Consider the following 14,602-nt stretch of genomic DNA (forward strand, 5'->3'; position numbering starts at 1 on the left):
AATGATTATCCTGTGCAGAATCTCACTCTGTTGCCCAGGCTGGAGTGCAGTGGCATGATATCGGCTCACTGCAACCTCCATCTTCTGGATTCAGGCAATTCTCCTGGCTTAGCCTCCCGAGTAGCTGGAATTATAGGCACCCAGCACCATGCCCAGCTAATTTTTGCATTTTTATTTGTGTATTTATTTTTTACTTTTTAAGATGGAGTCTTGCTCTGTTGCCCTGGCTGGAGTGCAGTGGCACAATCTTGGCCCACTGCAAGCTCCACCTCCCAGGTTCAAGCAATTTCTGCCCCAGCCTCCTGAGTAGCTGGGATTACAGGCCCCCGCCACCATGCCTGCCTGATATTTTGTAGTCTTAGTAGAGATGTGGTTTCACCAGTTTGAGCAGACTGGTCTTGAACTCCTAACCTCAAGCAGTCCACCCGCCTCAGCCTCCCAATGTGCTGGGATTACAGGCATGAGCCACTGTGCCCAGCCTAATTTTTGTATTTTTAGTAGAGATAGAGTTTCCCCATGTTGGCCAGGCTGGTTTCAAGCTCCTGACCTCAAGTGATGTATCCGCCTCGGCCTCCCAAAGTGCTGGGATTACAGGCGTGAGCTACTGTACCCAGCCTGTTTTCAAACTTTTAAATAAACTTCCAGTTGGAATGAGAATGTATGAAGTTTTGGCCAGGACAGTGGCTCATGCCTGTATTCCCAGCACTTTGGGAGACAGAGGTGGGAGGACTGCTTGAGGCCAGAATTTTGAGACCAGCCTGGGCAATATAGCGAGACCCCATCTGTATGAAAAATAAAATAATTAGCCAGGTGCGGTGGCACACACCTGAAGTTCCAGCTACTGGGGAGGCTGAGATGGGAGGATTGCTTGAGCCCAGGAGTTTGAGGCTGTAATGCACTATGCATATGCCTATGAATAGCCATTGCACTCCAGCCTGGGCAACATAGTGAGACTCTGTCTCTTTTTTTTTTTTTGAAACAGAGTCTCACTCTGTCCCCCAGGCTGGAGTGCAGTGGCACGATCTCGGCTCACTGCAAGCCCCGCCTCCCGGGTTCACACCATTCTCCTGCCTCAGCCTCCTGAGCAGCTGGGACTACAGGCGCCCGCCACCACGCCTGGCTAATTTTTTGTATTTTTAGTAGAGATGGAGTTTCACCGTGTTAGCCAGGATGGTCTCAATCTCCTGACCTCGTGATCCACCTGCCTGGGCCTCCCGAAGTGCTGGGATTACAGGCGTGAGCCACCGTGCCCGGCCGAGACTCTGTCTCTTAAGGAAATTTTCCATTGACTTGCATAGAACTGGTCTTTATGTGTTTAGATAGTAGAAATATATAAGTGTATGTATAATGTTGCTCGATACCTGTTTTAACAGGCTGATGTCCAAGTGCAGTTGATCAGCAAAGGCCAACCAAACCCTTTGAAAAATATTCTAAATGAAAATGACATAGTATTCATAGTGGAAAAAGTGGTAAGTACTGGTTTGACTTTGTGGTTGTTTAATTCTCCATAACCAAATTTGGTTTCTTGGGAATAATCTAACGTACACGTTTTAAAATCAGCATCGGTGAAAATGAGTTCTCATTCTTTTAGGAGTAAGTGTAGTGCTGTCCAGTACAAATAAATATGAACCACATATGCAATTTAACATTTTCTTGTAGCCTCATTAAGAAATAATCGATAAAATTCACTTATTTCTTTTTTTTTTTTTGAGATGGAGTCTCGCTCCGTCACTCAGGCTGGAGTGCAGTGGCACGATCTCAGCTCACTGCAACCTTCACCTCCCAAGTTCAAGCGATTCCCCTGCCTCAGCCTCCCGAGTAGCTGGGATTACAGGCGCCTGCCACCACGCCTGGCTAATTTTTTGTGTGTATTTTTAGTAGAGAAAGGGTTTCACCATATTAGCCAGGATGGTCTCAATCTTCTGACATCGTGATCCACTCACCTCGGCCTCCCAAAGTGCTGGGATTACAGGGGTGAGCCACCACGCCCTGCTGACTTACTTCTTTTGTTGTTCAGTTCCATGAATTTTAACACGTATGTAGATTCTTGCAGTCACCACCACAATCAGGATATATAACAGTTTTATCTCACTGAAAAACTCCCTTGTTGTTATTATTGGCAAGGCTGAGCTATTTAACTATTTTGTAAACACATGGATAATAGTACCCACTAACACCAATCAGAGGTTATTGCCCTAGAGAAAAAGACTGTGGGCCTAAGGTTATAGTCCAGAAAGAAGGTCTTCCTGTTTTGAGAGTGAAAAATCCAAGAACGTCTGGGTTTCCTTGGTATTTTACCTTTACCTAATCATTTTGTGCAAGTTGGAGCACTTCCTTTTCTGCTTTTAAGGTAGTCTTGCTCTTTTGCCCAGGCTGGAGTGTGGTGGTACTGTCATGGCTCACTGCAGCCTCCACCTCCCAAGCTCAAGCAATCCTTCCACCTCAGCCTCCTGATTAACTGGGACCACAGGTGCATGCCACCACCCTGGCTGATTTTTTTTTTCTTTTCTTTTTTTGGTAGTCACAGGTCTCCCTGTGTTGCCTTGGTTTGTCTCGACCTCTTGGGCTTAAGTGATTCTCCTCCTCAGTCTCCCAGAATGCTGGGATTACAGGCATGCGACACCATGTCCTGCCGAGCACTTCCTTTTCTAAAAGCATCAGTTGCTTCCTTTGCTATTAGCAACTAAGGTCAATATCTTTTTATAGGACAGTTGAAATGCTCCTGATGGCAAGATTTTTTGGTACCAAGCTAGTTTGTGGCTATTCTTGCCAAAACCCAATCATTTGTGCTTAAGGGTATAAAAATAAGTACATTATGTTCTACTTGTCATTATTCTGTAGCATAGTAAAGAGTCAGCTGCTATCCTATATGCTCTTTTGTCTGGTTAAATAATTAAGAACATTTTTAAAGCCTTTAGAAAAGGAAGAAACAAGTCATATTGAAGAACTTCAATCTGAAGAAACTGCCATATCTGATTTCTCTACTGGCGAAAATGTTGGACCACTTGCTTTACCAGTTGGGAAGGCAAGGTAGGTTTTCTCTTATGCTGAGTAGGGGTGGCAACTAGGATTTAAATTGAAACATTCTTATAAACGTTGGGAAAAATAGGCCTCTAGCCCTTATATCTTCCTTCATCTCCCCCACCCCCTGATAAGTATACCCAACTAAGGATAGTTCTACTTGAATATTTGATAGGTATCCCAAATGTGACCAAGAATACTGCACTTATCTTCCCTTTCTCTACACCTCTATACCAATTTATTGTTGTTTCTCAATTGTTTTCCTTATGTGTAATCTGGTTCCCCTCCAGTCTTTCTTCCTCAAATGAAAGCCTGACCAAGCTTCTTTCCTGCTTAAAATCCTTTAGAGGTTCTTCATTGGCTTCATGATAAAACCCAAATTCCTTAAGAATGACACACAGGAACTTTCATTGTCTAGCCCCACTGGTCCTCCACCAGGGGTGGTACCATACCCAGAGGGAATTGGAAATATAGGGGAGTATTTTGGTTTGTCACAGTGACTGAGAGGAGCTACTGGCATTTAGTGCACCTGCGCCGTGGATGGTAAACATCCTGCAATGCATGGGACTCTCCTGCACAATGAGCAGTTATCTCACCCCAGGTGCCAGTAGTGCCCCTGTTAGAAACTTGAGAGCCTCTGGCTACCTCTCCAGCTTCACTTCCTGCCTCCCCACTGTGTAGCTATGTACAGTTCCCTCTGTCCAGCCTCCTCCTGCCTCCAAAACCAAAAAGTCCTTGTCTTCAGGGTGTCCTGGCGAATATAGTCATGCAAATACTAACAGAATGGTATGAGAATGATAACTACTGTAATAACGTTCACAAAATTATATCTTCATGCTGGTTTTTACTTGCTCTATAGAAGTTTTTTTTTTCTTTTTTTTTTCTTTGATATGGCATTTTGCTCTTGTTGCCCAAGCTGGAGTGCAATGGTGCGATCTCAGTTCACTGCATCCTCTGCCTCCTGGGTTCAAGTGATTCTCCTGCCTCAGCCTCCCGAGTAGCTGGGATTACAGACACACACCACCATGTCCGGCTAACTTTTTGTATTTTTAGTAGAAACGGGGTTTCACCATGTTAGCCAGGCTGGTCTTGAACTCTCACCTCAGGTGATCCACCTGCCTTAGCCTCCCAATGTGCTGGGATTACAGGCATGAGCCACTGCGCCCAGCCTAGAAGTTTTAAAAGTTTAATCAGCCTCTTCCTTCATAGGTACTTGATTTTAGTCATATTTGGCCTGTTTTCTCCCTACGACTTAAATGTTAAATATTTGTATTATTTTCTCCAGCCAGTGTTTGTGTGGGTTGATTCATGCGCTTATTTCTTTGCTCTCCATTTCTTCTTGCATTTTCCTTCTGGGGTTATTTTACCTCTTTTTGGAAGTAAAATCCCCTAGAAATTTTTTTCCTGGACATCTGTTGGTAATCAATTTAGTTTTCATGTCTTTGAAAAATAAAAACATAAGCCACATTTTTTGGTGACTTTCAATTTTGATACACTTTCAAATTTATGGGAAAGTTACAAGAATAGTGCATGAACTTCTGTATATCCTTAATCCAGATTCACCAATTGCTTAGATTTTACAGCATTTGCTTCTTTTTCTTCTCCTTCTTCCCCTTTTCCTTTTTCTCTCTCTTGTGTCTCTTTCTAGATAGATATATGCAAAGCAGTGTATTGCTATGTATGTATTCATATATAGTTATATATGTATATTGTTACAACTATATATCATAACAATATGTTTATAACTATTGTTATACCTATAGATTTTGTGTTTGTGTGTGCGTGTGTGTGTGTGTATATATATATATATATATATATATAGTAATGTACACACATACACCATTTTAAAAATGAAGTATTGACAATGTAGTGAAGATCTGGCACTCTTTTACCCCTAAATGCTCCACTGTGTATTCTCTATGAACATATACATTCTCTTACATAACCATGGAACAATGATGAGAATCTGGAAATCTAACATTATTACAATACCATTACCTAATCAGAGCCCATATTCAAATTTTGTTAACTGTCTCACTAATGACAGCATCATTTTGTGTTTATTGGGTCCTACTTCTTTCTTTTCTTTCCTTTTTTTTTTTTTTTTTTTTTTTTTTGAGACAGAGTCACTCTGTCGCCCAGGCTGGAGTGCAATGGCGTGATCTCGGCTCACAGCAACCTTTGCCTCCTGGGTTCAAGCGATTCTCCTGCCTCAGCCTCCTGAGTAGCTGGGATTACAAGCACAAGTCACCACACCCGGCTAATTTTTGTATTTTTAGTAGAGACGGGGTTTCACCATGTTGGTCAGGCTGGTCTCGAACTCCTGACCTCGTGATCTGCCCACCTCGGCCTCCCAAAGTGCTGGGATTACAAGCTTGAGCCACCGCGCCCGGCCTGGCTCCTACTTATTTCTTTAGATTAATCTCACATCCTACCTCTTCAACTTCTACTGAACTTCCACTCCTGCTGAACCCCCAATCCTTGCCATATTGAAGCTCCCTGCTCATAGTAGCTCCAATCCTGTCATACTCTGTCACTTTCTGGTGCGTGCATTTTGATCTGCCTGGTGAATCTATTAATGGATAAAGTATACATATACATACATGTTGCTATTTAAGTTTTAGGTTGTTGTTTCTGTGAGACCTCTCGTGTCTTTTTTTTTTTTTTTTTTGAGACAGAGTCTCACCCTGTTGCCCAAGCTAGAGTGCAGTGGTGCGATCTGGGCTCACTGCAAGCTCTGCCTCCCGGGTTCACACCATTCTCATCCTCCCAGTAACTGGGACTACAGGAGCCCGCCACTACACCAGGCTAATTTTTTGTATTTTTAGTAGAGATGGGGTTTCACCGTGTTAGCCAGGATGGAAGACCCCTCATATCTTTTTAAAAGAAAATTCTGGCTGGACGTGGTGGCTCATGCCTATAATCCCAACACTTTGGAAGGCTAAGGCAGAAGAATTGCTTGAGGCAAGTAGTTTGAGACCAGCCTGAGCAACACTGCAAGACTCTGTCTCTACAAAACATAAAAATAAGCCTGATGCAGTGGCTTGTATCTGTAGTCCCAGCTATTTGGGAGGCTGAGACAGGAGGATCACTTGAGCCAAGGAGGCCAAGGCTGTAGTGAGCTATGATCGCACCACTGCATTCCAGCCTGGGCAACAGAGTGAGACCCTGTCTCTCAGAAATTAAAGAAATTCTTGAATTGGAAATCTCTATCTATAATTTGTCCTTACTCTTGTTTTAAAGGCAGTTAATTGGACTTTACACCATGGCTCACAATCCTAATATGACCCATTTGAAGATTAATCTGCCAGTTACTGCCCTTCCTCCCCTTTGGGTAAGATGTGACAGTTCAGATCCTGAAGGTACTTGTTGGCTAGGAGCTGAGCTTATCACAACAAACAACAGCATTACAGGAATTGTCTTATATGTGGTCAGTTGTAAAGGTGAGTGCTCTCTCTAGAGAGTGTGTGTGTGTATTTATTCATTTGTATAGTTATTGTTTCATGTTTTTTTACGAAAATTGATATTGTTATGATGAAAGTGCACAAGGTAGAACTTGCATTAATCACCATAAATCTACTCTGGTGTGTAACTTGCAGCATGTGGGAGGTATTCCAGAAACACCAGAAACAGATCTCCAAAAGTCTGGACAGGAGGTTTACACTTCTTTGATTTGGGTTTCATTTTATTTCTATGTGTATATTATTGAAAAATTTCATTGGAAGATACAAACTGACAATATGTTTCCAATCGTAGACATTTAATTGTATTTTTGGTAGTAGTATTGACCTTCATTCCACTTTATTTTTTATTTGTGTTTATTTACTTATTTATTTTGAGACGGAGTCTTGCTCTGTCGCCCAGGTGGGAGTGCAGTGGCGCGATCTCGGCTCACTGCAACCTCCGCCTCCTGGGTTCAAGCAGTTCTCTGCCTCAGCTTCCGGAGTAGCTGGGATTACAGGCACCTGCCACCACGCCCGGCTAATTTTTTTGTATTTTTAATAGAGACGGGGTTACACCATATTGGTCAGGCTGGTCTTTAGTAGAGACGGGGGTTCACCATATTGGTCAGGCTCCTGATCTCAAGATCCACCCCCCTCGGCCTCCCGAAGTGCTGGGATTACAGGCATGAGCCACCGTGCCCAACTTCCACTTTATTTTTTATTTACTTATTTTTTTAGAGACAGAGCCTCACTCTGTAGCCCAGGTTAGGGTACCGTAGTGCATTCATAGGCCACTGCAACCTCAAACTCCTGGGCTCAAGTGATCCTCCCACCATAACCTCCTGAATAGCTGGGACTACAGGAGAGCACAACCATGGCCAGCTAATTTTATTTTTATTTTTAATTTGTTTTTAAGAGACAGGGTCCCACTGTATTGCCCAGGCTGGTCTCAAACTCAGCCTGAAGCAGTCCTCCCACCTCAGCCTCCTGAGTAGCTGGCATTACAGGCAAGTGCTGCTGCGCCTGGCTGTTACACTTAAATTCTTATTTTTAGTTTTTTGAGGTAGGATCTTACTCTGTCACCCAGGCTGGAGTGCAGTGGCGCAATCATGGCTCACTGCAGCCTCGACCTCCTGGGCTCAGGCAATCCTCTCACCGCAGCCTCCCAAATAGCTGGGACTACAGGCACATGCCACCACACCTGGCTGTTTTTTTAATTTTCTATAGAGACAGGGTCTTGCTATGTTGCCCAGGCTGGTCTCGAACTCCTGGGTTCAAACGATCCTCCCTCCTTGGCCTCCTAAAGTGCTGGGATTATATGTGTGAGCCACCATACCCAGCCCACTTTCATTCTCTTATAAACATTTCACTTATCTGTGATTTAAAATTTAATTTTAACAGTTATTTTGTTGAGTTGTGGTACATTGAGAATGTGAGGGATTACAGTTTTGTAGCTCTGACAATGTAATTTTGAGTTGTGCCTTTACATTTCTTTCTTTCATTTCCTATAGCTGATAAAAATTATTCTGTAAATCTTGAAAACCTAAAAAATTTACACAAGAAAAGACATCACTTGTCTACTGTAAGTGTTTTGCTTCTACTCATATTATTTTCTTCAAATTGTTGTCAACCTGCCTTCCTAGTTTACAGGTTTTTTTTCACTCCTAAGATGACTAGATATTTTTCTGTAGTATGAAAATGTTTATGTTTATTTTCATATCAGCTAATGACCAAAATTAAAATGCCTTCATGCCTTTTAGCCAATCTTTGTGGTTTCAAAGAATTGTCTTACTTTTCTATTTGGGATATATGGAAAGTATATATCCCAAAAATATATGGAAAGTATATATCCCAAAAGTATGGCGTGTGTGCTCTTTTTTCTTTTGGGACAAGGATCAAAATAATTTGGGTAATGGACTCTTGGCCATGTGGAAGCACAGCTAAATGATCTGCTGGGTACACTCTTTTCAGGTAACATCCAAAGGCTTTGCCCAGTATGAGCTCTTTAAGTCCTCTGCCTTGGATGATACAATCACAGCATCACAAACTGCGATCGCTTTGGATATTTCCTGGAGTCCTGTGGATGAGATTCTTCAAATCCCTCCACTCTCTTCAACTGCAACTCTGGTAAGAGTGGGCCCTATTTCCTTTTCGGGTTCATGAGACTCCTAAATGTTGGCTTACTTGGTTGTTGCTGGTGCTCCATGCCTCTAGCCTTGGCACTTGCTGAGTGTGAGCTTGGACAACTCTGAAAGGCCCACCTTGCCACTAACGTCTCACCAGGGCAGCCAGTGAAGGTTTTGTCAGGTGATCTGATCTATCAGTTGCCCTCAGCCCTATAATAATATAACTTAAGAATTTTCTAGTGATGAATAAAGTTTTTGAGTGGTGGCTCAAGTGAATCCGTGTTTTTGTTTGTTTGTTTGTTTTGTTTTGAGACAGAGTCTTACTCTGTCACCCAGGCTGGAGTAAAGTGGCACGATCACTGCTCACTGCAGCCTCGAACTCCTGTGCTCAAGCAGTCCTCCCGCCTCAGCCTCCTGAGTAGCTAGGACTACAGGCAAACGCCACCACACCTAATTTTTTAACTTTTTTTGTAGGGACAGAGTCTCCCTATGTTTCCCAAGCTGGTCTCAAACCCCTGGGCTCAAGTGATCCTCCCACCTCCACCTCCCAAAGTGGCTCACGCCGGGATTATAGGCGTGAGCCACTGTGCCTGGCCCTCTTATTCTTAAAAGGGTGGAGTTATTGGTAACACATCAAGAATCATTATAATATTAAGCCCTTTCACTCTGTATTTACATTTCTAGGAATCTGTCTTAAGAAATCAGTCAAAATTGGCTGGGCGCAGTGGCTCATGCCTATAATCCCAGCACTTTGGGAGGCTGAGGAGGATGGATCACGGGGTCAGGAGTTCAAGACCAGCCTGACGAATATGGTGAAACCCTGTCTCTACTAAAAATACAAAAATTAGCTGGGTGTGGTGTTGTGTGCCTGTAGTCCCAACTACTCGGGAGGCTGAGGCAGAAGAATCGCTTGAACCCGGGAGGCAGAGGTTTTAGTGAGCCAAGATTGTGCCACTGCGCTCCAGCCTGGGTGACAGAGTGAGACTCTGTCTCAAAAAAAAAGAAGTCAAAATTGCTAACAAAAATTCATGTGTAAGATATTCAGTGCAGCGATATAACTGTGTTTCCAAAATACTATAAACAAAACTGGAATGTTCAGTAGGGAATAGTTGAAATAGATTTCTTTCTTTTTTTTTTTTTTTTTTCTGGGGCGGAGCCTCGCTCTGTCTGCCAGGCTGGAGTGCAGTGGCGTCATCTCGGCTTACTGCAGTCTCTGCCTCCCTCCCGGGTTCAAGCAGTTCTCCTGCCTCAGCCTCCCAAGTAGCTGGGACTACAGGTGCATGCCACCATGCCCAGCTAATTTGTTTGTATTTTTAGTAGAGACGGGTTTTCACCATGTTGGCCAGGCTGGTCTCGAAATCCCAAAGTGCTGGGATTACAGGCATGAGCCACCACACCTGGCCTAAAATAGATTTCATGATGAAATATTATATACAGTCTCTAAAAGCCTGTTTTAAAATCTTGAATATTAATAATAGGATGTGCTTATTAAGCAAAAAGAAAAAAGAAAAAGTATAAATTATTTATGTAGTGCGATCTCAACTATATTGTTTAAAAAATGTATATACAGAAGCCTGGATAGTGTTAATAGTGGTTCCTTCAGAGTGGCAAGATTATGGATAATTATATTCTTTTTTTGAGACAGAGTCTTACTGTCACCCAGGCTGGAGTGCAGTGGCATAATCTCAGCTGACGGCAACCTCTGCCTCCCAGGTTCAAGCTATTCTCCTGCCTCAGCCTCCTGAATAGCTGGGATTACAGGGGCATGCCACTAAACCTGGCTAATTTTTGTAAGTTTAGTAGGGACGGGGTTTCGCCCAGTTGGCCAGGCTGGTCTTGAACTTCTGACCTCAACTGATTCACTCACCTCGGCCTCCCAGAGTGCTGGGATTACAGGTGTGAGCTACTGCGCCCAGACATGGATAATTATATTCTTTATACTTTTCCTGTAATGGGAATTTACATACATTGGCATATACGTTTTTCTTTTTTTATGTTTGCAATCTAAGGTTTGTAAGACATTGACCTCTGGCTAGGACAGCACACTGTTAGTTTAGTTAGAAGGAGTCTAATAAACAGATTTATTGGGAGACTTCATTTTGGTTTGTGATAATGCTAAGTTATCACCGAATCTTGAGATATATTTATGTAAATTTCTCCTACCTTGTCCTCCTGGAAATTCCTTGGGAAAAGGCAGGGGAGTGTGTGAGGAGGGCAGTTGTTCCACATAGGTACAATTGTTTATGTCATAGAAAGAGGATAAGTGGTTTTAATTTAGATTATTGGGTCAAGATGGCAAAATCTCTGAGTAAGATGTTCTAAATGATGTGTTGACCTCATTTTTCAATTCATTGGTCCTTTATGAAATATATTTTTTAATGTGTGAAAGATAGTTTGAAATGCAAGTATAACACTTATGTAGAGAAGGTAGGATTAGCACTAGAAAACTGACAGACTTTGGAAACTTTTTAGAATATTAAAGTGGAATCAGGAGAGCCCAGAGGTCCTTTGAATCATCTCTACAGAGAACTGAAATTTCTTCTTGTGAGTATCCTTCTAGAATTCCTTTCCTTAAATCTATGTTTTTATAAACATGTGTGCTATTGTTGTTTTTACTTAGGTTTGTGTTACTCAAAACTTCTTCAGATGTTATGTATCCATTAGAAGCTCTGACAGTTTGGGCAGTTAAATTTTACTTCTGTGGTAGTTGTCCTTACAATTAACGGGAGCATTAGGTCGTTAATAGCTAGATTTCTCTCACCCTTTGTGTTGTTTTATTTTTTTAATTAATTTATTTATTTTTCCATTGTGTGTGGATATACCACATTTTGTTCATTCATCAGTCGATTGACATCTTAGTTGTTTCTACTTTGTGGCTATTATGAATAATGCCTCCATGAACATTTACATGCAAGTTTTTGTGTAGACATGTTTTCACATGTCTTGGGTGGAGTTACTAGATCATATGGTAACTGTATATTTACCTTTTGAGGAACTGCCAAAATATAACTGTTGTCCAAAGTAGTTATGTTATTTTATATTTCTTTCAGTAGTATATGAGGGTTCTGATTTCTTTACATCTTTGTGAACACTTGATATTGTCTGTTTTTTAATTATAGCTATCCTAGTGGTAGTGAAGTGGTATCTCTTTGTAGTTTTGATTTCATGTGCTTATTGGCTCCTGCTTATTTCTTTAGCTTAATCTCACACTTTACTTCCATTCCCACTGAACCCCCAACCCTCATCATACCAAGCTCCTTGCTTGTAGCTCGGATCCTGTCATACTCTATCATCTTCTGGTGTGTGCATCTTGATCTACCTGGTATGCACTTCTCCCACCTCTTTGCTAGGTGAGCTCTCTGTGATGGTTGCATTGATCTCACAGAATGGCTTGTGTTGCTGTAGAACTCCACACATACCTCTTGTCAGTGTGTTTATAAAACACAGTAATTTGTTTACTTATCTGTCTCCTCTACTAGATTTGAGTGCCTGGTTCCCTATTGTGCCCTTACCATCTAGCATAGTACCAACTATTTTTGATACTTTTACTTCCTATGAGTAAGTATTATTTCTCTGTTTGTATAAAACTGATAGTTTTCCTACCTTTCTCACCTTTCTTCTTTCTTGAAAGCCCCTCTTTTAGGACCCTTACTGCGGGCCTCCATCATACTTTTGCCCTCACATCTCTGCCCTTCTCTCTCTGCACCCCTGCAGAGCTGATCTATTCAGTGATTTGACTGACACCTTTGTGAGCAAGCTCCAAACCCTCATCTTTAAGCTGATAGCACTTCCCATCTTTCCAACTTCCACCAAATTATTTCCCACTTGGGTAGAGTGCTATTGCTTCAAGAGTCAGTATGTCAAAATGAAACTATCTTCTCCAGACTACATCCTCTTTGAAAACCCCCCATTTCTGTCTGTGGTCCCATCGTTCCTTCAATTTCCTACGCTAGAAATCTCATATTTCACTTTAGTAAGAACTGTTATTTCTATCACCACTACGTACTACTATAGCTAGAAGCTGCCACTCTGCTGTGTGCCACCCATGGTGCTGGCTGGTTCAGTTATTTTGCCTGAAGGTGACAACAAACTGGTAAATGGAAGAGCTGGCACAAGTTCATTTAAATGTGTGTTTGTCTAATTCAAGTCTCCCTTAAAAAGTCACAGAATCTTAGATATACATGTGGCCATAGTCTGTCTGTGTTCAACCCCCTATATTTTATAAATGGATAGGATTTTTTCTTTTATTCCACATATACCTTGCTACCCTTCCCCCCATACATATACAATTCTTTTCCTCCTTTGAAGTCTCTTTCACTGTGCTCATCTTAGTTAAAATCTTTACCATCTTCTTCTGGGACCATGCTAATGATGATTCATTGTTTCTCAACAGGGGCACTATTGGCATTTGGGCAGGAACATTGTTTGTGATTTGGGACCATGGTACACACACCAAGATGTTTAACATCCCTGGCCCCCACCAAACTCCATGCCCCAAGTTCGCCTATGCTCCTAATCATTTATGACAACAAAAATTATATTCACATTTTTCTTTTTTTTTTTTTTTTTTTTTTTGAGACGGAGTCTCACTCTGTCACCCAGCCTGGAGTGCAGTGGTGTAGTCTTGGCTCACTACAGCCTCCTCCTCCTAGATTCAAGTGATTTACCTGCCTCAGCCTCCCCAGTAGCTGGGATTACAGGTGCCCACCACCATGCCCTGCTAATTTTTTTGTGTTTTTAGTTCAAGAGGGGTTTCGCCACGTTGGCCAGGCTGGTCTTGAACTCCTGACCTCAAGTGATCCACCTGTCTCGGCCACCCAAAGTGCTGGGATTACAGGCATGAGCCACCATGCCCAACCATCTTCACATTTTTCTAAAGACCTCCCCCCGGGAGTGGGAGATGATAGCATTTCAACTGGGAAATGTTGTATTTTCTCTTTCCTAGGAATCCATCCTTGATACTTCTGATAGAGAAATTCTTAACTAGATCATGTCATTTTCCTGCCAAAAAAATCAACATTGGCTGTTTTCTGCCATATGAAGTTAAAAAACTTTTGAAGATCCCTTGATGGTTTAGCTACTATTTCTTCTAATCCTATTTCCCGCTGCTTCATAGTCGCTTTTTCTACCCTGGTTGGGATCACACCACCCTCTTCATCTTATTTCATGCCGTTTTCCTGCCAGCCTATGGTTCCCACATTTGAGTTGCAACTGAAGTTACAAGTTGTTTCACTGGCTTTTGCGGCCTAACTTGACTGCTTTTTCTTTCTTTTTTTTTTGAGTCTTGCTCTGTCGCCCAGGCTGCAATGCAGTGGCACCATCTTGGCTCACTGCAAGCTCCACCTCCTGGGTTCACGCCATTCTCCTGCCTCAGCCTCCCGAGTAGCTGGGACTAAAGGCACCCGCCACCATGCCCAGCTGATTTTTTTGTATTTTTATAGTAGAGACGGGGTTTCACCGTGTTAGCCAGGATGGTCTCGATCTCCTGACCTCATGATCCACCCATCTCGGCCTCCCAAAGTGCTGGGATTACAGGTGTGAGCCACGGCGCCCGGCACTTGACTGCTTTTTCTTAAGTCCATTGAGATATTGTATGTATGTGCATACATATTTATATTATTTTAATATAAACTTCCACTTTTTACATTTATTCATCCCCAGACTACTTCATTTGTCTTATCCGTCTATCTTTGCCAAAGTTGCAAGCATCTCCAGGGCAAACCCAGTATCCTCAGTCTTAAGTCCTCTGTAGCACCTATGCACGTGGCATCATTGTTCAGAGTACCATCTTTGGGATCAGACCACTGGGTATATATCCTGAGACTATCAGTTACTAATTGTGTGACCATGAGCAAGTTACTGAACCTCTCTTAGCCTCAATAAGATGAGAATAATAGTAATATCTACCATAGAGTTTTGTTAGGATTAAATAACATGTACTATACATAAAGCACCACAGCAGTACCTGGGATGTGATAAACACTCAAGAAATGTTACTGCAATTAATATTAT

General features: G+C 42.2%; 1 protein-coding gene across 6 annotated transcripts in view; it reads left to right on the forward strand.

Moving 5' to 3' along the window:
* Window positions 1-14,602, forward strand: part of ZWILCH (zwilch kinetochore protein) — a 44,805-nt gene that overhangs the window by 7,289 nt on the left and 22,914 nt on the right. For 5 of the 6 annotated variants that reach the window (XR_001751344.3, XR_007064470.1, NM_001287821.2 and 2 more), the window contains 6 exons: window positions 1,374-1,469; window positions 2,912-3,030; window positions 6,265-6,464; window positions 7,976-8,046; window positions 8,436-8,591; window positions 11,063-11,134. Coding sequence is in view for 4 of the 6 variants with exons in the window: in NM_017975.5 (NP_060445.3) it covers window positions 1,374-1,469; window positions 2,912-3,030; window positions 6,265-6,464; window positions 7,976-8,046; window positions 8,436-8,591; window positions 11,063-11,134 (714 nt within the window). In the remaining 2 variants the exon portion in view is untranslated. The remainder of the gene's footprint in view (window positions 1-1,373; window positions 1,470-2,911; window positions 3,031-6,264; window positions 6,465-7,975; window positions 8,047-8,435; window positions 8,592-11,062; window positions 11,135-14,602) is intronic. The other variant, NM_001287822.2, reaches the window with a different exon arrangement.

The sequence above is a fragment of the Homo sapiens genome, chromosome 15 (assembly GCF_000001405.40).
Source record: "Homo sapiens chromosome 15, GRCh38.p14 Primary Assembly".
Lineage (NCBI taxonomy): Eukaryota > Metazoa > Chordata > Mammalia > Primates > Hominidae > Homo > Homo sapiens.